Below are 24,915 nucleotides of genomic sequence, written 5' to 3' on the forward strand. Positions count from 1 at the left end.
CATTTATATAAGATTGTTTCATTTTTATGAATTCAATAAAATTGTGGCAGTGATCCAAATTATACATTATAGGTTATATATCATATTAATTTCAACTCTCTATTGTTCATGTTGAACTCTTACTGGGGCCAAAACAAATATAATTTCAGGAAAAGTTATAAAAATACTCTAATAATAAAAGCTTTCCTGGTAGTCAAGGCTGAATACATGATTTCTGATGACTAAGACTGACCCTAAAAAGTGTTATCTAATAGATGGAATCACAGTGCTTTGTTCTTTTCATACTCATTCAATGGCAGCTTTTATGTGGTTTGAGATGGCTATTTCCTTTTATTCATTAATATATATGAGAGAGCACATAGGTTAGTTGCATAATTGTTAGGACATTTAGAATGTGTCCTTCTATTCTACACCACCATTTGGTCCAATAAATTTACTCTTTTGATTGTACTTTTAGTAAGATTGCTTTCTGCTATTTGACTATAAATATGACATATGTGTATAAAACACTTATATGTATTTTTAGTTTTACTGTTTTTATTTTAATCTTCCTAGAGATAAACTTGAAAAATAACTATTTTTTCCAAAGAAGCATATAAATGTGAGTTTGTATTGTGGTTTTATAGCAGAGCATAATGAGACTCCCTTTGCTGTAATGCTACATTAATATTAACATTTAATTTTGACATCTTTGCCATAATGGTAGATAAGCTATAAGATGAAAATTAAATAAAGAACAATTTACTGTGTTTGGCAGCCTGTTGATATGCTTTTAGCAGTCAGAAGTGTATTCATTTTGGTTTAGCTTGACCCAAGTGCTCATTTGAATTTAAACTGAGGCAAGCCACTATAATACATATTTAATGTTGCTCCTAGCAGTTAGATATATCTCTATGTTCTTTGTACCTTTATCAGTATCTTCGTCACCATCATCATCTTCTTCATCTTCAGATGAGATGATGTCAGATAACAAAGAAAAGAAGCCATAGATCCAGTCCGTGGTTTCCTCCATAGCATCACGTACCAGTTTTAAAGGATCTGAGCCAATCTTGGCAATAGAGCTTGCTAAAAGTAATTAAAAAAAAAAAAAAAGAAAAAGTTTGTGATCATTTCCAAATAACTTAAGAAAAGCTGTTTTTACTGATTTGTTGTTTTGACAAAAAGAATATGTCAATTTCAACATTCTAAATATCTCCTGGCTACAATTTTTTGCGCAGAAATAGAAACTTCATCTTGCTATAATATGCATGCATGCCAAGAAAGAAAATGCCCTTGGGAAGTTTATAATCCAAATAAGAGTTAGCACTGGAAAAAAAATTAGGAATGAATTAAAATAATGTGTATTTATGTTACCCAGAGTGCAAATAAACCCTATGTTATGGATGTTCAGGAATGGAAGAAATAATTTCAGCACATATTGTATGGGACAGCATTATAGAAAAGATGACTCTGTAAGTTTTCAGACAAATAACAAGTTCTGCAAGTTGACTAAGGTAGTTGTGGCTAAATTAAGACTGATAGGCCCATTTATTCTAATTTGTGATACCACAGGAAGAATCTGGAATAGTCAAGTTAGTGATCATATCAAGCTCTAGTTGGAATAGGTTGGATTTATCTTAGTCATCCCTGTACATGAAATAAAAAAGTATTTGAACTGCTAGTAACTTCAATGGATAGAATCTATAAGTCTTCCCTTTTCTATGTCCTAGGAGATATAAAATGTTTGCTAAATGAAAGATTGAATCATAAAAAAATGCAAACAAATATATTAGGGATTTCCAAAATTTTATTCTTCCAATCATATGAAAACTGCTCTGAAGAGGCAAGCATAGCCTTTAGGATGTGATTACAGAGGTGATCTATCTAGAAATATGGTATAAATTGCATCTGATTTTTTATCAAGCTGTAATTAAATTTTAGAGCTGTGTTTTCCTTAATTTTAAAAACTATTTTAGCTTTTCAGAGATTTTTCTCTCTTTGATATATTTAAGAGATGAGAATTATATCAATGTATTATACTACCTAAAGGTTAAGTACATCTAATTAGGCTTTTACTGTGACTAACATAGTAAGTCATTGGAAGATTTGAGCAGAAAGATGAAGTGATTTGACTTCCTTTACTGTGTTGAAGTTTGAAAGGGTGCCAGGCTGGGAACAGGGAGATGAGTATGAAGCCAACTGAAATCATCCAAGAGAAAGATGATCATGATTTCTATCAGGGTGGTAACAGTGTGTGTGGTGAGATGCAATCAGATTCTGAATGTATTTCAATGACAGAATTAATAGTAGAAGCTTCCAGTGTGGCTGTGATGTGAGAGAAAGACAGAATTCCAGGATAACTTCTAAGTTTTTGGTGTGAGAAACTAGAATGAAGGAAGGAAATGCTCTGAGCTGGGGGAGGACTGGAGAGAAACAAGATTCTTGCTGGGTGTGGGTGGGGTTGGGAGTAGAAAAGTAGCTGAGTTTTAGACTTTCAAAATTTGGGTTGCCTATTAGATACTTACATCAAGATGTAGACATTTGTGTAATGCAACATGATTTACAAAAGAGAAGCTCTAACTGAAAACAGAAACTTCAGAATCCAACGGAAGACAGAAGGTATCAAAGCCATAACAATGAGTGAGATCACCAAGGAAGTTGACCCAGAGACACTTTAACAAATGTCAGGGAGATAAGTCAGAGAGATAGGGAGGAGCCAACAATGGATTCAGAGGGGAGATGACAGAGAGAGTGACAGGCAGAGCAGGAGTGAGCAAGAAAGAGAGAGGGAGAAGGAACCAAGAAAGTGTAATGCACCAGATATCAGGTTAATACATTGTTTTTGAGGAGGACAGAGTGATCAACTGGAAAATGCTATGGATAGGTCAAGAAAGTTGAAGACTGAGAATGGACCTTTGGATTGGATGACGAGGATGTCACTCATGACCTTCAAAGAGCAATTTCAGTGGAGTGCATTCAAGACAAAATAGAAAAATTTGGAGGCAGTGAGTATATTTTTATGCATATGACAGAGATTGAGTAATACTAGAAGAGGAACTAGGATCATAGTGAGTTTTTCTGTTTTTACCATTGTTCAAATAGGAAGAATATCCCATGGTTTATACTGATGGGAAGATCTCATAGAGAGCGGAAAAATTATATGAACGAGAGGATTTCTGGGGAAATTTTTAATTTTATATTCCATTCTGAGGGATTCGTGGAGCACACAGACCATTCAGTGACCCCAGGAATAAAATGCTGCTTTCTGGGAAGCCTGTCTCCATGATTCATTGATAATGTACTTTCACTCTTTGCACCCCATTTTACTACACTCCAGAGAGTTTCATGTGAGCAAGAAATGGCCGTTTGAATGGTGAGATTAAACCTTAGACAAAGGAAATGAAATGGAATTTTATAATTGCAATTGAGGATTTTAAAAGAATCATATGTAAGGAACTGGATTGTTCTGGCACCATTAAAGGCATTTTTAGCAGTGGTATATTTTATACCTAATGGAAAAATCTGCAAATGAGATTTTTATGATGAGAATAGATTGAGACTATTTCTCCATTTCCCTTCTTTCTAAGTGTTAACTGAAGAGCTTAACAATAAAATCCAACAAAATTGGGATCAGTTTAATTATCCTTATGCTTAAATGCACTGTATGTATTTTGCAGATATATATATATATATATATTGCCTGGTTCTAAAATTGCCAAAGCAGGCTATTTTTATGAAGTTATCATTGCTAGCTTGAGATCAGCTTCTGATTTTCTGATTTTCAGCCATGTGGACCACTTCTTCCAAAACCTAAATACACACACACACACACACACACACACACACACACACACTTAAATAAGACAGTAGTCCTGAAGTTGATTCTTATTCTGTCTTTCAGACCTCACATCCAAATCCAGATCATATCAATGGAAAAAATATTATTCAACGCAAACTAAAACTTTTATTGATGTCTTTTTTTAAGAAGATACTTAGGTAATTGTATTTTCTTAGCTTTCATGTTTCCCTAAGTTTAATTATATACATGACTGTGAGAATCATCTTAAAAATAACAGTCAGACACCATTATAAAAACTTTACAGGTATTAATTCACATTTTCTTCTCAATAACCCAATGACATAGGTATATTATTTTATACCTTTTTTAAAAACATAGGAAAACTAAGGCACAGATAATTTAAATAAGATGCCTCAGGTTACATAGTAAGTGATGGAGCCACGTTTTACACCCATTTTAGGCCATCAAAACAAGATTCTTAACTATTGTGCTATATGCTGTCAAACAAAAAACATAAATTCACAATTGATTCTAAGGTCTCGTTTTGGGTGGGGAGATTTTAGAAGGGGTTTTCTTGCTCTTAAAAGGAAGAACAAAGACTTTACTGCATGGGAATAAAAAAGCTTGCAGCTGCTTCAGTCATCTTGTAACCATGAGAACAGTAGCTGGCTCTCTGAGAAAGGCAAGGATTAAAACTGGAAAAAAAAATGAGTCCACGATGACATTGCTAAGGCCTTGAAGTATCCAATGTTGAAATCACTCTACCTTCAGCACTTCTGTTATATGAGATAAGAAATGTTTCTCAGTGTTCAAGTCATTCTTAATTGTATCCAAGGTTTCTTCCAGAAAAATATACCACTGAATGCCGGGAAAACTGCTTTAGGTTACTTGTGGTCAGTAATTGGATTCTTGGCACTGATGAAAGAGTGCCAAGAGAGACAAGAGAGGCCAAGAAAAGTTTAAGTAAGATTTTTATTTGTCCTCTGGTTTTGAAGCTAAACTATGCGTGTACTTAAGTTTCTAAATGGGACTATACAAGAAAAATAATCATTTTCTCTGCTTCCCTTCTAAAAAATCAAGACCATAGTTTCACTGTTATCTTTGGCCATCAGTCTTAGAGTGTGTAGGTAATATTTGACCCTTCTTTATTTTTCATATCCTGAGAAACATTGGCACACAATGGTTACAAGCTTGGGTTCTGAGTTCAGACTGATAGCATTCAAGTTCAAGCTTCCTACCCAGCGCTGTGCCAACTATATTGAAACAAAAGGAGAAACAGTAATAATCATTCTGCCTTTGTTTAAAATGTTGATATTTTCTTCATCATATATTTTTGCATTAATTTTGAAAATTTAAACTCTGCCTGAAAATATTATTTGTTTCAATTTTTGAGTGTTTTGGAGGACTCCAATTTTGCACCCATGGTACTTAACTCACTTTTCTCTAGTCCTGGTACTTCCCCAACCTATTAGCTCTATGATATTGAGAAGATTAACTTTTGCCATGTCTATAAAATTTATCAATGCCTTGCTTTCCCAAAGTCACTATTCCAAATCAAGACCTCAACTTTCCAGTGCCTGTTATTCCTCTATTCAAACTCTCTGTACTCCAATTTAGAACATATTCAGTTAGTGGGAAAAAGGATAAAGTACTCTGTGCTTCCATTTGCTGAACCATAAAATGACAATAAGACTGCATAAGGATCTTATGCGTAATACATGAGATAATATAGACAAATCAAATGGTACGATGCCTGCTAATTAGTAAACATCAACGTGAAGAAATAAGCAAGATTGTCTGTTGAATGACCAAAATGTTCTTTTCAGCTTGCTAGCCAGAACTAATAGCTTCCCCTCCCCTCAACAGGAGGCCTGTGTATGATCTCAGTTTCTCCCAAACTCTTCAAGTGCTACACAACTGGTGTTTCCAGCATTCCCTGATGCACTTAGCACCTAAACTCTGACTGCATAGCGCTCAAACCCAAATGATTAACCCCAACCTTAATGCTACCCTTATGCTTTCCTTCCAAGGAAAGAACAACTAAGAGGTGGAGTCTCTAGATTTGCCCATCTGCATCTGTCTGATCCACTCCACAGGAAGGCAAGAAAACAGGGGTCCCAGGAATCTTCTGCCCTTCTGCCCATGACTCTGCCTGCACCAGACGACACTTACTGGTGTTCACTCAAGCACAGTGTACGTAAACTTTTTGGTGTAAAGCATGTGTATTAGTCCGTTTCCATACTGCTGATAAAGACACACCTGAGACTGGGTAATTTATAAAGAAAAAGAGGTATAATGGATTCACAGTTCCACTTTGCTGAAGAAGCCTCACAATCATGATGGAAGGTGAAAGGCATGTCTTACATGGTGGCCAGCAAAAGAAAATGAGAGCCAAGTGAAAAGGGAAACCCCTTATAAAACCATCAGATCTCAGGAGACTTATTCACTACCACAAGAACAGTATGCGAGAAACTGTCCCCATTGATTCAATTATCTCCCACTGGGGCCCTCCCACAACATGTGGGAATCATGGGAGCTCTAATTCAAGATGATATTTGGGTGGGGACACTATCAAACCATATCAGCATAGAGGGCAGATAATATGGTTTAATAAATGTTAGATAATTATCAGTTTAATTTTCATGACCATTTACCTCAAACATACAATGCTCCATAAATGCAGGCTGCTATAAATATTAGCATGAGATCACTTAGTCACCACGCCCTCATAGCGAACCTTGGTAAGGTCCATGAAATCCAAAGACTGTTTTCATTGGAACTCATGAAACAACTAATGTTTGCCCCTGACCTCCCAGAAAATATTCAGATCCAAATATTTGGAACTAAATTGAGGTAAAGGTTTTTTTTTAATGTCATGAATGCTACCCAAACCAGGAACAATTAAACTTGGTATATGTTGCTGTATGTACCTTCTGTATGGTAGTACTCAATATGAGCTTGGCTAAGCAAAGCAGAGATTTCTCTTTTACAACAATTATTGAGCACTGATTATGTACAATATTCTAAGTGTAATATATAATTGATATCTAGGTGGTTCTAATTTTGGTATGTGAGGAAAGTTATTTCAAAATACATAGAGATAATTTTCTAGACCTAAAGAAATAATTTTAAGTGACCAGTTTTTCTCCCTTTCTGTAAATATGTATATGAATATTTTTGCTTCTGTTGGTGAAAATTTTATCAAGTTAAGAAAAATTTTAGCAAATTATGTGTCATTTAATATGCCCTGAGTTACATGTCAATTTTTGCTTAAATTACTGTGAAATTACTTAGTCTTTGTCTTGAAGGTAAACAAATTTCTTTAGAACTTTCCCAATGCCAAATGAAACTTCAGATGTGTTTCCTCATTCCCATCCCACCGCCTAAGTTGGGAAGAAAGAAAAAACAGATAGGAAAAACAAAACAAAAATGTTTTTAAAATCTGAAGTGGTGGGTCAGTATATGCATAAAACAATGCTCTTTCCACTAAGTCAATAGGTTTCTTAGACTCAGAAATGTAGCTGAGAGAATACAAAGACTTATGAAACAGTTTGGGCTCAAGGTCTGGCATTATTTGTTAATAGTCAAATATTTCTTAAGGTTATAGGGTAGAAATGCTAATTTAATTTATTTCTAAGCAGAATCCATTGGAAACAAGAAGCTTGCACAGTGAATTTAATAGTCTTCTGAGACTTTGGGTCCTGGAGTTTTCAGCATCAACAATACTAGGCACAGGTGTTTACGAATAAACAAAAATATGTGCTTATACATTCACAGTGAAATTTGGTGTCTTCATTGACCTGATGTTTACTGAAGACATTATACTTTAAAGCTTTTTAAGTCCAAACAGTTTCTCATAAGTTGGGCCACTTGTCCTGGGTATGTTTGGTTGACTTCACTGATGTTAGAACTGCCGTTTTTAATTTTGTCATCACGGTGGAAGAGATTTCAACCTCTTAGAGCCAAATGCCTTTTTTTCTCCCATGAATTTATTGCGTTCTTATTTTCTGTTTTATTTCAAATTGAAAGTAAAGACAAAATTAGAGACATAAGTAAAACATCCAAGGAAGTCAAGCATTCAAAAAATGTTTATTGCAACACCTTTATTCCTCTGTATTTAACCCCTAAGATGAGTTTATATCCTGCCAGTGGACGTTTCTAAATGTATAGTACTGGAATTACATATTTTCTTATTATTTTTTCTTGAAAAATGCAGGAAGGATGGCTATATTTGTATATATTGCTTCAGTTCCAGAAGCAACACTTGATATTTTGGCATCTGATAAGCCACTTTTGTTGTAACCAAAATAGTAATAATTTATAGTCCTAAAACCATGTTCCAAAAATAGATTTTCCACACAGAAGCATTTTAAGAGAGGCTCATTTTTTGAGATCCTCTTTTTATATTCACTTATATTGATCCTTTAAAATTATTTATGCTAAAATAATAATTGGGGAAGAACTGACTAACTGATAGCAATTTGAGAGGAACAAAGGTAAAAATAATAATGAAATGCAGAGGTGGAGGCCAATGAAAATTGAATCCAGCTACTGTGCTATAATCTTTGCATTTGATAATTTTGTTTACAGTATAAAAGAGTATTTCAAGGATCCTCACATGGACAGAAATGTGGAATAAAAGCTATGCTGTAAAATTTTCTTGAAACTAAATATGTAGGATAAAATAAATTTTTATTTAACACTTTAGCAGGATATACAAATATTGAATAATTAGATTTCAGACTGAGTAATCAGATTGTAAAATAAATCATGAGATGCTTCTATAGAGCACCTTTCAGATGCTTTTGTAAAGAGAAGAGTATGAGGAAACCACATTTTCATATATTTAAATGCCTTACTTTACAAATGAGTGAATACTTTGCTATTGCCATACTTAGGAATAAATGTTCTATTTTAAAAATAGAACATTTAAATAGTTGTATACAATCACTTGAACAATAAATCAAAATTATATAAGTGATTTAACTTCAAAACTAAGTGTCTGAATAGATTTTCATTCAATGAGATTTTTAACATAGAGACCATATACATAGGTTGAAATTTTCTGGAGTCTCTTATCTTTAGCTCAATGAACACTCCTCAAAGCATGATGACATTAAAAGTTGGGTTAATAAAATTCCCATGGTGCTTCTAATATTAACTTCACTTGGAGGATTGATTTTACAAAAATTCTAATTGCAATATAATTTTTTCCTGTTCTTTTTTCCTGTTCAGTCTCTCTTTCTCTATTTCCTCCTCTTTCTCTTCTTCCTCCTCCTCCTTCTTCTTCCTCTTCCTCCTATTCCTCTTCCTCTTCTTCTTCTTCCTCTTCCTCTTCTTCTTCTTTTCTCTCTCACTGTCTCTAAATCTCACTCACTCTCTCTCCTTATGACTTCTGGATAATACCAATATTAGACTAAAATGACCAGTCTGTCCCTCTCCTCTAGAGAGTTCTATGGTCTAAATGTCTACGCCCTCACAAAATTCATATGTTGACATCCAAATCCCAAAGCGATAGTGTCAGGCCTCTGAGCCAAGCTAAGCCATCATATCCCCTGTGACCTGCATGTACACATCCAGATGGCCAGTTCCCACCTTAACTGATGACATTCCACCACAAAAGAAGTGAAAGTGGCCGGTCCCTGCCTTAACTGATGACATTACCTTGTGAAATTCCTTCTCCTGGCTCATCCTAGCTCAAAAGCTCCCCCACTGAGCACCTTGTGACCCCCCCACCCCTGCCCGCCAGAGAATAACCCCCCTTTGACTGTAATTTTCCTTTACCTACCCAAATCTTATAAAACGGCCGCACCCCATCTCCCTTCACTGACTCTCTTTTCAGACTCAGCCCGCCTGCACCCAGGTGAAATAAACAGCCTTGTTGCTCACTCAAAGCCTGTTTGGTGGTCTCTTCACACAGACATGAGTGAAATGTGAAATTTGGTGCCGTGACTCGGATCGGGGGACCTCCCTTGGGAGATCAATCTTCTGTCCTCCTACTCTTTGCTCTGTGACAAAGATCCACCTGCAACCTCTGGTCCTCAGACTAACCAGCCCAAGGAACACCTCACCAATTTTAAATCGGGTAAGCAGCCTCTTTCTACTCTCTTCTCCAACCTCTCTCACTATCCTTCAACCTCTTTCTCCTTTCAATCTTGGCGCCACACTTCAATCTCTCCCTTCTCTTAATTTCAGTTCCTTTCCTTTTCTGGTAGAGACAAAGGAGACGCATTTTATCCATGAACCCAAAACTCCGGAGCCGGTCACGGACTCGGGAAAACAGTCTTCCCTTGGTGTTTAATCACGCGGGGACAACTGCCTGATTATTCACCCACGTTTCAGAGGTGTGTGACCACGTGGGAACGCCTGTCTTGGTCCTTCACCCTTAGCAGCAAGCACCGCTTTTCTGGGGGGCAAGCACCTCCAACCCCTTCCCTCCATGTCTCTACCCCTTCTCCACTTTCCTGGGGGGCAAGCACCCCCCCCACCCCTTCTCTCCATGTCTCTACCCTCTCTTTTCTCTGGACTTAGCTCCTTCACTATGGACAACCTTCCACCCTCCATTCCTCCCTCTTCTCCCTTAGCCTGTGTTCTCAAAGACCTCTTCAACTCACACCTGACCTAAAATCTAAATGCCTTATTTTCTTCTGTACTGCCACTTGACCCCAATACAAACTGGACAGTGGTTCCAAATAGCCAGAAAACAGCACTTTCGACTTTTCCACCCTACAAGACCTAAAAAATTCTTGTCCTAAAATGGGCAAACGGTCTGAGGTGCCTGACGTCCAGGCATTCTTTTACACATCGGTCCCTCCCTAGTCTCTGTTCCCAATGCAGCTTGTCCCAAACTTCCTTCTTTCCCTCCCGCCTGTCCCCTCAGTCCCAACCCCAAGCATCACTGAGTCTTTCCTCTTTCCAATCTTCCTTTTCTACAGACCCAATGACCTCTCCCCTCCTCCCCAGGCTGCTCATCGCCAGGCTGAGCTAGGTCTCAATTCTTCCTCAGCCTCCACTCCCGCACCCTATAATCCTTTTATCACCTCCCCTCCTCACACCCGGTCCGGCTTACAGTTGCATTCTGTGACTAGCCCTCCCCCACCTGCCCAGCAATTTCCTCTTAAAAAGGTGGCTGGAGCTAAAAGCATAGTCAAGGTTAATGCTCCTTTTTCTTTATCCCAAATCAGTCAGCATTTACACTCTTTTTCATCAAATATGAAAAACCCAGCCCAGTTCATGGCTTGTTTGGCAGCAACCTTGAGATGCTTTACAGCCCTATACCCTAAAATGTCAAAAGGCCATCTTATTCTCAATATACATTTTATTACCCAATCTGCTCCCGACATTAAATAAGACTCCAAAAATTAAATTCCAGCCCTCAAACCCCACAACAGGACTTAATTAACCTCACCTTCAAGGTGTACAATGATAGAGTAGAGGCAGCCAAGTAGCAATGTATTTCTGAGTTGCAATTCCTTGCCTCCACTGTGAGACAAACCCCAGCCACATCTCCAGCACACAAGAACTCCAAACGCCTGAACTGCAGCTGCCAGGGATTCCTCCAGAACCTCCTCCCCCAGGACCTTGCCACAAGTGCCGGAAATCCGGCCACTGGGCCAACAAATGCCCATAGCCCAGGATTCCTCCTAAGCAGTGTGCCATCTGTGCAGGACCCCACTGGAAATCGGACTCACCCGGCAGCCACTCCCAGAGCCCCTGGAACTCTGGCCCAAGGCTCTCTGACTGACTCCTTCCCAGATCTTCTTGGCTTAGCGGCTGAAGACTGACACTGCCCGATCACCTCAAAAGGCTCCTGGACCATCACAGATGCTTTGGGTAACTCTCACAGTGGAGGGTGAGTCTGTCCCCTTCTTAATCAAAATGAAAGCCACCCACTCCACATTACCTTCTTTTCAAGGGCCTGTTTCCCTTGCCTCCATAACTGTTGTGGGTATTGATGGCCAGGCTTCTAAACCTCTTAAAACTCCCCAGCTCTGGTGCCAAATTAGACAATACTCTTTTAAGCACTCCTTTTAATTATCCCCACCTGCCCAGTTCCCTATTAGGCCGAGACACTTTAACTAAATTATCTGCTTCCCTGACTATTCCTGGATTACAGCTACATCTCATTGCTGCCCTTCTTCCCAATCCAAAGCCTCCTTTGCGTGCTCCTCTTGTATTCCCCCCACTTAACCCACAAGAATAAGATACCTCTACTCCCTCCTTGGCAACCGATCATGCACCCCTTACCATCTCATTAAAACCTAATCACCCTTACCCCAATCAATGCCAATATCCCATCCCACAGCATGCTTTGAAAGGATTAAAGCCTGTTATCTCTCGCCTGCTACAGCATGGCTTTTAAAGCCTATAAACTCTCCTTACAATTCCCCCGTTTTACCTGTCCTAAAACCAGACAAGCCTTACAAGTTAGTTCAGGATCTGCGCCTTATCAACCAAATTGTTTTGCCTATCCACCCTGTGGTTCCAAACCCATATACTCTCCTATCCTCAATACCTCCCTCCACAATCCATTATTCTGTTCTGGATCTCAAACATGCTTTCTTTACTATTCCTTTGCACCCTTCATCCCAGCCTCTCTGCTTTCCCTTAGACTGACCCTGACACCCATCAGGCTCAGCGAATTACCTGGGCTGTACTGCCACAAGGCTTCACAGACAGACCCCATGACTTCAGTCTAGTCAGAATTCTTACACAAGAGCCAGGACTGCACCCTGTAGCCTTTCTGTCCAAACAACTTGACCTTACTGTTTTAGCCTAGCCCTTATGTCTGCGTGCGGCGGCTGCCGCTGCTTAAATACTTTTAGAGACCCTCAAAATCACAAACTATGCTCAACTCACTCTCTACAGTTCTCATAACTTCCAAAATCTATTTTCTTTCTCACACCGGACGCATATACTTTCTGCCCCCTCCACTACCTCTCAGCAAGCCAAACTCATTGCCTTAACTCGGGCCCTCACTCTTACAAAGGGGCTACACATCAATATTTATACTGACTCTAAATATGCCTTCCATATCCTGCACCACCAAGCTGTTTTATAGGTGAAAGAAATTTCCTCACTATGCAAGGGTCCTCCATCATTAATGCCTCTTTAATAAAAATGCTTCTCAAAGCCACTTTACTTCCAAAGGAAGCTGGAGTCATTCACTGCAAAGGCCATCAAAAGGCATCAGATCCCATCACTCAGGACAACGCTTATCCTGATAAGGTAGCTAAAAAAGCAGCCATCAAAAGGGCTCAGATCCCATCGCTCAGGACAATGCTTATGCTGATAAGGTAATTAAAAAAGCAGCTAGCATTCCAACTTCTATCCCTCGTGCAGATTTTCTCCTTCTCATCTGGCCACTCTCACCCACTCCCTCACTGAAACTTCCATCTATCAATCTCTTCCCACACAAGGCAAATGGTTCTTGGACCAAAGAAAATATCCCCTTCCAGCCTCACAGGCCCATTCTATTCTGTCATCATTTCATAACCTCTTCCATGTAGGTTACAAGCCACTAGTCCGCCTTTTAGAACCTCTCATTTCCTTTCCATCGTGGAAATCTATCCTCAAGGAAATAACTTCTCAGTGTTCCATCTGCTATTCTACTACTCCTCAGGGATTGTTCAGGCCTCCTCCCTTTCCTACACATCAAGCTCAGGGATTTGCCCCTGCCCAGGACTGGCAAATTGACTTTACTCACATGCCCCGAGTCAGAAAACTAAAATAACTCTTGGTCTAGGTAGACACTTTCACTGGATGGGTAGAGGCCTTTCCCACAGGGTCTGAGAAGGCCACTGTGGTCATTTCTTCCCTTCTGTGAGACATAATTCCTCGGTTTGGCCTTCCCATATCTATACAGTCCGATAGTGGACTGGTCTTTATTAGCCAAATCACCCAAGCAGTTTTTCAGGCTCTTGGTATTCAGTGAAACATTTATATACCTTACAATCCTCAATCTTCAGGAATGGTAGAACGGACTAATGGTCTTTTAAAAACACACCTCACCAAGCTCAGCCACCAACTTAAAAAGGACTGGACAATACTTTTACCACTTGCCCTTCTCAGCATTCAGGCGGGTCTGTCCTCGGAATGCTACAGGGTACAGCCCATTTGAGCTCCTGCATGGACACTCCTTTTTATTAGGCCCCAGTCTCATTCCAGACACCAGCCCAACTTGAACTGCACCCCAAAAACTTGGATAGAGCCTAAAAGCTCACCAACCAAGCAAGTAATTATGCTCAACCCCCTTGAGCACTCTCTAATTGGATGTCCTGGGTCCTCCCAATTTTCAGTCCTTTAATACCTGTTTTTCTCCTTCTCTTATTCCATTTAGTTTTTCAATTCATACAAAACCGTATCCAGGCCATCACCAATAATTCTATATGACAAATGTTTCTTCTAACAACCCCACAATATCACCCCTTACCACAGGATCTTCCTTCAGCTTAATCTCTCCCACTCTAGGTTCCCATGCCGCCCCAATCCCTCTCGAAGCAGCCCTGTGAAACATCGCTCATTATCTTTCCATACCACCCCCCAAAAAATTTTCGTCGCCCCAACACTTTACCACTATGTTATTTTTCTTATTAATATAAGAAGACAGGAATGTCAGACCTCTGAGCCCAAGCTAAGCCATCATATCCCCTGTGACCTGCATGTACACATCCAGATAGCCAGTTCCTGCCTTAACTGATGACATTCCACCACAAAAGAAGTGAAAATGTCCGGTCCCTGCCTTAACTGATGACATTACCTTGTGAAATTCCTTCTCCTGGCTCATCCTGGCTCAAAAGCTCCCCCACTGAGCACCTCGTGACCCCTGCCCCTGCCCGCCAGAGAATAACCCCCCTTTGACTGTAATTTTCCTTTACCTACCCGAATCTTATAAAATGGCCGCATCCCTATCTCCCTTCGCTGACTCTCTTTTCAGACTCAGCCCGCCTGCACCCAGGTGAAATAAACAGCCTTGTTGCTCACACAAAGCATGTTTGGTGGTCTCTTCACATGGACATGAGTAAAATGTGAAAGATAGTATTTGGAGTTGTGGCCTTTGGAGGCAATTAGGTCCTGAGGGCAGAGCCCTCACAAACAGAATTAGTGCCCTTATAAAAGAGGCCTAAGAGAGTTCACCCCTTCCATGATGTGAGAACACAGCAAGAAGCCTATGAGCTACAGAGTAGGTTCTCACAGATACCAAAACTGCTGGCAACTTGATCTGGAATTTCCCAGCCTCCAGAATTGTGAGAAATAATGTCTGTTTATAAGCTATCCAGTTTATGGTATTTTGTTATATCAGCCAAAAGAGACTAAGAGAGTGAGACACATGCAAAAAATAAAATAAAATAAAGGGTAGGATGCAAAACTCCTGAAGTACATTGGATTCTAAAAGATAAAATCCATTTGATTTGCAATTTTGAAAAAATAAAATACTTGCATCTGCAAGTATTGTTGGATATTTAGATGCTTTTAAACCAAAGGAAAAACTAGGATCCTGATTTAAAAGCACTTTTGGTGAGCTAATTGTTTTATTGACTGCAGAAGGAAATGACTGTCACTTTGCTAATCTACATTTGAATAGTCATATTGTAGCTCCAATCCTTGCTTTTCAATATCTGAGGCATGGGCATTTTCCCTCTGCTTTAAAAAACTTTCTCAACTGAAATTTTTCCACACTCATCTTTACTATTAACTTACTTCAGTAGTTTAGAAATGTGCACTTGTGTGGGACCTAATGAAATTAAACACAAACATCCCTACTTACAATTATGTGGTTATTTCAGTATATAATTGTTTATGGCAATGTAAAACTAAGTTTACTGATACTCAACTATTACTTCTTGAGGCAAAAGGAACATTACTGAATGCAAATAGATGTATATTTCACCTCTCTTACTCAATATGACCCTAATCAACCAATTCTTTACCAGCAAAATTGTGCGACAGATGTTTAAACCTGGAATACTTCCAGCTAACTGGAGCTAGACCTATGTCAAATAACGGGCACTTTATATTTCAAAGCAAAATAAAAAACTACTTCTGGCTTCTTTTATCCCTGTCAAGTATCCAGATGAAAATTAGGGCATCATATTGTACTTTTATTAATAAATATGTATAAAAGGTGTGACTATTGAATTTGCTTTTCTCTTCTTAAAAAAAGCCCATGTTAAATATAAACAAGATTTGAATCTATGCGTATAATAAGAAATGGGAACACATGGTTTTTTGTAGGTTTATAGATTTCCATAAATTTGTTTCCAAGCTACGATTCAACAGAAATAATTTTCTGGTGGCATAAAAGTCAAAATATTATACTACTCCAGTTGGATGATTTACTTGGATCACCATATTATAAATTTAACAGATTAGTGGAGAAGAGATAATACAGCAATTAACATATTCTGACTAATTATTTAATACATATTTGTTTAATGAAGTTGAGGTTTAGTTTTGGAAGCTTTACTTTTTTGTTTGTTTTTGTTTTTGTTTTTGTTTTTAAGATAGGGTCTCACTCTGTCACCCAGGCTGGAGTGCAGTGGCGCAAGCTCAACTCAGTACAACATCCGCCTGCTGGGCTCAAGTGATTCTCCCACCTCAGGCTCTTGCCTTTATTAAAACAACAATAAAAACAATATCCGGTTTTACCACAATTTCAAAAGAGAATTTTAAGACTAAAAATGTAGGAACAATATAATCTAAGAATTAAGAACACTTCTTAAAAATGAATACTTTTTTTCTTTATCTTTTTCCTCATTTCATGAAGAATTGATACACTTTTTATTAGAGTCTGGGAAATATTGAATTATAGAACTCTTTGCTTCCTTCAGGTACTCATAGACAGACTGAAGTTGGGTAGTAAAATGCATCTTTTTAGGTGTAATGACCAAGAGGACCAAATAGGCCTGGGGTAGTGAGCAGAAAATATGGAATTTGAGATAAGACTTGAATCAGAGTAAGAAACACACAAAATGTGCTCCTTGAAAACTCAGTACACATGAGAGTTGATAGAGTCCTAAATGTTGCATTTAGTGTTTCAGTCTTCCATGTTTCCTAAAAAGTAATAACATATTCGTGTGTGTGTGTGTATATGAGTGTAAAATTAAATGTTAAATTTGTACTTTCTGACTGACTTTGGGCCTTCCCTAAATGATTTTACTCTGCTAAATTCATAGCCTGACAAACCGTGCACCTGCTTAACTGGGCTAAGCGCCAAGAAAAGAAAAAAAGTCAGGAAAATTAATTTCCAAGAGCAGCAGATAAATGGCACACCTCATTAGAAAATCTATTTAAAAGGCACATCAGGAGATGTCTGCAAGACTTTTCATAAGAAATTGATGCTTCCTACTATTATGTCTTTGCTGGCTCTCTTCTCAGATTACAGATCTTACTTCCTGGTAATAAGATTCAAATTCAAGTTACATTTAATGAGTCCCTCCTATGTGCCAGGCATGTAGGTTTTACATAGATTATTGTATTTAATTCTTACAAAATTGGTTTGAAATAAGTATATTTTGTGGAATGCTTGCAAAAATTACCAAGTGTGCTTTGAGACACGCTGGTACAACCATGTAATGATGTTTTCCTCTAATGGATGAGGATGCTAATGAATGATGATCCTTGTTCTTAGGAAGGAAAAGAGTTACCACATTCTATTGCTGTACATTCTGACCTAGAAGAAAATCATCAACATCCACTAATGCCTTAGTTTGTAGTCATTTCTTTATAAATCCTATTTGTTTGCACTTCTGATTGTTTAGCGAGAAAGTTGTCACTTCATAAATAAAGCAAAAGAAATTTGTAAGAAATTTCAACCAAAGCCTACAAATTCTGGCCCCAAAAGATCAGAATACATAATCAAGGCACCCCTTCATTTTCTGAGAGGGAGGTCTTTCTGGCTGAGTCTGCAGAAGCTTGAAGGGAAGATCTCCGGCAGCCTTTCTAAGCCTCTAGCCTCAATTACTAAGAGAGCAACGTTTCTCTGTCCTCCCATCCCCCACTTAGGGTTTCCAAAATCATTCTTCTTTGAGGAGAGAACTAAAGTCAATGTGGATAACAGAGCGATCATACACCTTGGTTTGTGTCTGATGTCCTGAGGTAAATCTTAATTGCTCCCCATTTCACTCTCACAAGTATCCTGTTTCAGCTGTTAGATGATATTGTTGTCCTATATGAAGACTTTGCACACTGTCAAAGCACTAAGCTGGAACTGTCTTCCCAGAAATCCCTTATATGTATGTTTTCAGGTAACAGTTGGAAACAAGACATTTTTGCAAGTTTTGGAAGGCACGAATGTGGCAATAATGAAGCCATTATTTATTGTCTGAAGGTTGGTGTAGGGCAGGTGCTTTTGCAGCTCACGCTCATGATCCCAGAGAGTCTAGCTGCCCTTGTTGTGTGGCAACAGCCGCCACATCTCCAGCGCACACTGGGCTGGCTTCTTCAGCGTCTCCAAATCCTGGCCAGGTGCGCGTGCAGTTCCGTGGGGGAAAGGCGTCAATTTATCCTGCAGCTCATCCGCATAATTGTAATTTGTGGTGGTGAGAGACAAACAAGTCTTCCACTTTGTTCTTGTCAGTTTCAGTTTGTCCCAAGTCCCTCCCATTCTATCCATCTTCCCTTCCCAATTTCCACCCTGACTACTTTCCACTCAACACCAGATGCATTGCAACAGCCTTACATAGATTAATCAGCTACCATGAATTCATAAACGATATAATAAACCCTTATTCTATGTAATTCAGAGTTGCTTTCAGCTATTGTGTCAAACATTGACAGATAGGCATAGTATTGTTTGAATATTATTTGGATGTTACATTAAGTAAGAAGTGTGGTGTAGGTGAAATATCTTTTCCAGTCTGTTTATTTGGTGCCTTAAAATTTGTCTCATTTGATAAGAAGAATCAAAGTCAAAAATTTTGCAGAATAGAAAGCAAGATGTTATCCCCATTTCACAGACAAGAAAAGATAAGTTCCTAGTCATGTTAGCTTGTAGGTTCATAGAGCTGAATAACGAACCCAAATCATCTAAATGAACCACAAATAAAAGCCAATTCTGCATGTCCCCAACTAGTAGCAAATATATGCATAAATCAGACAGAATTCTGAAAATAGGGGGAATTGTAAAGGTTGCCCAGAAGAGAATTATTCTTCTCAATCCAGTACAGTATGAGCTTATAAAAACAGATTTTCATTTCTCTATGAACAACCTTTTCATGGCTTCACGGCATTTACCTACTTTTCTAAACTTCCAGAGAGTAACTGACAGTTGCCCTGACTTTCTGGCCTTCCAAATCATTTCCAGTTTATTTCTTTTACCACTAGCCTTGTTTTGTAAATACTAACAATTATATATTTCAAAGATTATCACATGGTACAAAAGATTCATCATGATAATACTAATCCCTAGCAAAAGTTTGAATTGTGTCTATCAAAATTAACATTAAATATGTGAGTATAATTTACATTTTGAAACTGTTATTGAAGCCATAATTTATATAGTTCTTTCATTTTTATAATACACATATTTCAAGAATTGCATATAAATCAAATATTTGTAAAGTTAACAATGTACAAGTGTACTACAGAAATTATCATTGAAAGGAATTTGTTCTTATTTTATAAAATGCACAGCTACCTATAATTAGATTTTTAGATTAGATTACTTAAAATAAGGCATACTTATAGTTCACAGTAGAGCTTCCATTGGAGAGCTGCAATTAATTTCTATGGGCAATGCCTATGTTACTGGCATTTCATCTGATAGGGAAATACTTCAGTCAATGCAAGCTCAAGGGAAATGAAATTTTGTAGAGTAAGGTAACCAAGTGTCTTTTACTTAAAACTCTAGGTCATAATTTACATTATAGACATTACAACTGTGTATATTTTAAAAGCCTCTATTATACAATAAACTATGTATTGCCTATTTACATTAGACATTTATGACTCTGGATAAATAGCCCTTTTGCTTTCTTTGATATCACGGGACTTTTCTCTACTTGTTAGATGAGAATCTAACTCATTGGTAGTCCAGCTACCAATGGTATGCTGGCAGAGTCAACTCAATCACACCTTGTATTAGGTTGTTCCGGCATTGCTATAAAGAAATACCTGAGACTGGGTCATTTATAAAGAAAAGAAGTTCATTTGGCTCACACTTCTGCAGTCTGTACAGAAGCATGGTGCTGGCATCTACTCAGCTTCTGGTAAGGCTTCAGGGTGTTTACAATCATGGTGGAAGTTGAAGGGAAGGGGTAGCAGGCAGGTCACATGGATGGATGGCTAGAGGAGGAGCAAGAGAGAGAGTGGGGGGCGGGGGAGGTGCCACACACTTAAAAAATCATATCTCACAAGATCTCATTCACTATTGTGAGGAAAGTACCAAGGGAATTGGCTAAACCATTCTTCAAAAATCCATCTCTATTAAACAATAATCTTCCAAGAGGCCCCACGTCGAACACTGGGGATTACAATTTGACATGAGATTATATGGGACACATATCCAAACTATATAATTTTATCTCTGGCCCCTCAAATCTCATTTTCTTCTCTCACTGCAAAATACAATCATCCCCGACCAATAGTCTCCCAAAGCCTTAACTCATTCTAGCATTAACTCCAAAGTCCAAAGTCCACAGTCTCATCTGGAAATAAATTCCTTCCACCTATGAGCCTGTAAAATCAAAAGAAGTTATTTACTTCCAAGACACAATGAGGGTATAGGCATTGGGTAAACATTACTGTTCCAAAAGGGAGAAATCAGCCAAAGGAAAGGAGCTAAGGCCCCATGTAAGTTGAAAACCCCACAGGGCAGTCATTAAATCTTAAGGTTCCAAAATAATCTTTCACTCTGTGTCCCATAACCTGGGAACACTGATATGAGGGGTGGGGTCCCAAGGAATTGGGCAGCTCTACCGTTGTGGTTTTGCAGGGTTCAGCCCTGGAGGCTGCTCTCACACATTGTTGAGTGCCTGCAGCTTTTCTAGGTGCAGGGTGGAAGCTGCCAGTGGATCTATCATTTTGGGGTCTGGAGGACAGTGGCCTCCTTCCCACAGCTCCACTAGGCAATGCCCCAGTGAGGAATCTGTGTGGGTGGGTCCTCCAAACACACATTTCCCCTCTGCACTGCCCTAATAGAGGTTCTCTGTTTGGGCTCTGCCACTGCAACAAGCTTCTGCCTGGGCACCCAGAATTTCCCATACATTCTCTGAAATCTAGGTGGAGGCTGCCAAGCCTCTTTAACTCTTGCACTCTGCATGGCTGCAGGCTTAACATCACATGAAAGGCACCAAGGCTTATGGCTTGTGCCCTCTGGAGTGGGAGCCTGATCTGCACCTGTGGCCTTTTAAGCCACAGCTGGACCCAGAGCAGCCAAAATATAGGCAGCACTCTTCTGAGGCTGGCCAGGGCAGTGGGGCCCTGAGCCTGACCCAGGAAACCCTTCTTAACTCCTAGACATCTGGGCCTATGATGGGAAAGACTGTTGCAAGGGTCTCTGAAATGCCTTCAAGACCTTTTTCCCATTTTCTTGGCTATCAGCACGTAGCTTCTTTTTAGTTACGCAAATTTCTCTAGCAAGTGGTTTCTCCACAGCCTGCTTGAATTCCTCTCTCAAAAAAGCTGTTTCTTTCTTTGTCACATGGCTAGGCTGCAAATTTTCCAAATTTTTATACTCTGCATCCCCTTTAAAGATAAGTTCCACTTTAAGTCATTTTTTTGTTCCCACATCTTTGAATAGGTTGGTAGAGGCAGCCAGGCTACATCTTGAATGTTTTACTGCTTAGATATTTCTTCCAGCAGATACACTACATCATTACTCTCAGGTCCGTACTTCTACAGATCCCTAGGGCATGAAAAGAATGCAGCCAAGATCTTTGCTAAGGCATAACATGCATCACCTTTGATCCAGTCTCCAATACATTCCTCATTTCCATCTGAGACCTCATCAGCTTGGACTTCACTGTTCATATCAGTATCAGCATTTTGGTCTCAACCATTTAACCAGTCACTAAGAAGTTTCAATCTTTCCTTCCTCTTCCTATCTTCTTCTGAGCAATCCAAACTCTTTGAACTTCTGCCCATTACCCAGTTCCCAAGTTGCTTCCACATTTTCTGGTATCCTTATAGCAATACCCCACTACTGGTGCCAATTTTCTGTATTAAGCTCTTGCATTGCTATAAAGCTCTTGCATTGCTATAAAGAAATACTTAAGACTGGGTAATTTATAAACAAAATAGGTTTAATAGGCTCACAGTTATACAGGTTGTACAGGAATCATGATGCTGGTGTCTTCTTGGATTCTGGGAGGGCTTCAGGAAGCTTGCAATAATGGTAGAAGGAGGAGAGAGGAGCAGGCATGTCACATGGCCAGAGAAGAGGGAGAGAGTGGAGCAGGGAGGTGCCACACACTTAAACAACCAGATCTCATGAGAACTCACTATTGTGAGGACAGCACCAAGGGGACAGTGCCAAACCACTCACTAAAAAATGCATCCCTGTGATCCAGTCACCTCCTGCTAGGCCCATGTCCAACACTGGGGATTATAATTCATCATGAGATTAGAGGGAACACATATCCAAACTATATCACACCTTTATGCCAATAAACCCAAACAACAGAGTTCTATTTTCATAATTTTATATTGTATTTCTTCTTGAGGTCTGTGGCATAGCCATCTCCTGACACAAAGAATACACATTTGATTGCTGAATGAGTAAAATTCCATAATGAGAAATAGGAGAACCCTGAATATGTAGAATGCAATTACTAGTATTTATAGTGTCTGGGTCCTACTGATTCTACTCCTGTTGGAGAAAGAAAAAAGGGGAGGGGAGAGTACATATGAGAGAACACATTAAAAGATTAATGAAATGTTTCGCTTATGGTAAAAAAGTGATAAGAATAAATTCACTCATCTAGTCATGTAACATTTACTCAGCACTTGGCTGATTCCTTTCCTTAGGGAGCTCACAGTCAATAGAGGGTGTCATATGTCAAAATAAATAAATACAGTTTAAAATATGTAAAATATCATTGAACAAAAAATGAACAATTATATGTAATTTTGTGAAAAACTCTCTTTATTTTCAGGAACTCAAAATAGGATGGCCGGTGGCAGAAGCAAAGAGTTTGTCTGGCAAGGACACTTAGGACCAGATGACAGCAGGGCTTAAAAATACTTTAAAATATTTTCCATTTGTCCAAAAGTGTTTTGATTGGTTTGGTTTTATATTGCCAAGTGTAAAACCTACAAATTATTCCTTATTAATGCTTGATAAAGTACCAGTTCCAAACGAAATCTTCACCCAAGCTTTTTAACTATTATCTTTATGAACTGCAACATTCAGGCTTTGTTCAGCTCTTGCAAATAAGGATATCAATTTCATTGGAAATCAATAAGTACCACCGACAAAGAAAGAGAATAGGAGGAAAAAGGGAAGAATGAAACAGATTTCAGTGATCCTCAAGCACATTTGTGGGGTGTTTCTTCCTCACACTAAGATGAAACAGAAACCAAGCAGGAACTGGAGGGGACACTGTTTCTTTCCATTTGAATTAATTTTAATTTTAAAGCCAAATTTTATGGAACTTACCTGAAAAGTTTTTGTAATCCACTAAATCAAACATAACGATGGCAACAGCTGACCACGTGATTATCAGGGCAATGACCAGAAGCCAGGCTGCAGGGGAGCTGAACGTCGTCACTATGTCTTCTGTGACTGTCCTCTTCAGCACTTTTCCGGGGGATTTGGGCACAGATCCATTTTTGCTGTCTATCACAGTTGTGGTTGTAGATGCATTTCCTAATCAAACATTCAGAAAGGAAAATATAATTTAGAGATTCATGGTAAATATTGATGATGAGAAACACTGACTATATGAGTGCTGAACCTGTTTATACTGCTTTCTAGAGCAGCACAACTCCTTAGTGGCAGGACAAAGCCTCCCTGCCCACTAGCACATTATCTTTTCCTCAGCATTTACTATTCTCCCTAAAACTCGTGCGCTCATATAATCAGTGTTTCTCATCTCCTAAGTCCTCTGAGGGAGAATCAACACAAGTGATAAAATGGTTCAAATGGATAAAACTTCTTCTGAATATTTTAACTTAATTGTATAATTGACCCATCTAGTGAGGTCATCTAATGAGGTCATTCATGTTTTGTTTGTTTGTTTGTTTGTTTGTTTGTTTGTAGGGGCACAGAAGATCTAAGATAATGATGTTAGAAAGTCTTACTATATCCAGTACCTCTTTTATTCCTGATTTTAAGAGTCCACATGTTCATGAGAGAAAATTCAAAAAATATAAAAATAAAATAAATAGATAAGCAGATAGTTTTAATCTCACCACCCAGAAATAACCACTGTTAATATTTTGCACGTATATTTCTGTACATACATATAAATATATAAATATGGTTTATCTGGTTTTGACAAGTCATTAGCACATTGTCTTTTACTTTTTTTTACTAGGCAATATATCAGAAGTGTGTTTTATTGCCATTCTGTATTTCTCAAAATACCATTTAAGTGGCTTCATGACATGTAATTTTATGGCTGTGCGTAATTTAATCAAAAACTTTTCTACCTTGGGATAGGGCAGAAATTTTCTCAGCACATATTATTATTTATTTCTTTAGGAGAAAGTCCTAAATATAGAATTCCTGGGACAAATAACATAATCACTTTTATAGCTTTGAGAATACATGCACGTATTTGAAAGTTAGTATCTTTTAAAAATTGTGCATGCCAGTAGTTTTGTTACCTTATCCTTGACAATACTATCAGTGATGTTTAAAATTTTTGCAATAAGAGAAGATTTGAATTTTATTTGCAATATTTGATTACTAGAAATGAGCTGTTTGTATGTTCGTTTTTCCTTGGTATTTCTTTTCTTGTGGATTTTTCCTCCATTTTTCTGTAAACCTCCTTTTGGTGGTTTCTAAAATTGCATACATACACACATATGTAAGATAATAACACTTTAACCTTTATGTTGCCTTTTTTTGGTGACTCTTTACCTTTTCTTTTAATGCTATTTTAATATACAGAACGTACATCTAACAATGGTGTAACTCATTCTTCTTCTATAAAATTGATACTACTGTATGGCTAGAAAGCCTCCTGGATGGA

General features: G+C 38.4%; 1 protein-coding gene and 1 long non-coding RNA gene across 8 annotated transcripts in view; one reads left to right on the forward strand and one right to left on the reverse strand.

The window, feature by feature from the left end:
- The window catches only part of LOC105377982 (uncharacterized), a 51,063-nt gene extending 28,129 nt beyond the window's left edge, over positions 1–22,934 (forward strand). The window contains exons 4-6 of one of the 2 annotated variants that reach the window (XR_001743833.2): positions 5,809–5,971; positions 9,699–9,863; positions 22,873–22,934. This is a non-coding gene — a long non-coding RNA (uncharacterized LOC105377982). Of the gene's footprint in view, positions 1–5,808; positions 5,972–9,698; positions 9,891–22,872 lie in introns of those variants that run through there. The other variant, XR_001743831.2, reaches the window with a different exon arrangement.
- TRDN (triadin) overlaps positions 1–24,915 on the reverse strand; it is a 420,612-nt gene that overhangs the window by 331,209 nt on the left and 64,488 nt on the right. For all 6 annotated transcript variants that reach the window (NM_006073.4, NM_001407315.1, NM_001251987.2 and 3 more), the window contains exons 2-3: positions 23,376–23,585; positions 907–1,065 (exon numbers count right to left, since the gene is read on the reverse strand). In NM_006073.4, coding sequence (NP_006064.2) covers positions 907–1,065; positions 23,376–23,585 — 369 coding nt within the window. The remainder of the gene's footprint in view (positions 1–906; positions 1,066–23,375; positions 23,586–24,915) is intronic.

The sequence above is a fragment of the Homo sapiens genome, chromosome 6, assembly GCF_000001405.40.
Source record: "Homo sapiens chromosome 6, GRCh38.p14 Primary Assembly".
In the NCBI taxonomy this organism is placed as follows: domain Eukaryota; kingdom Metazoa; phylum Chordata; class Mammalia; order Primates; family Hominidae; genus Homo; species Homo sapiens.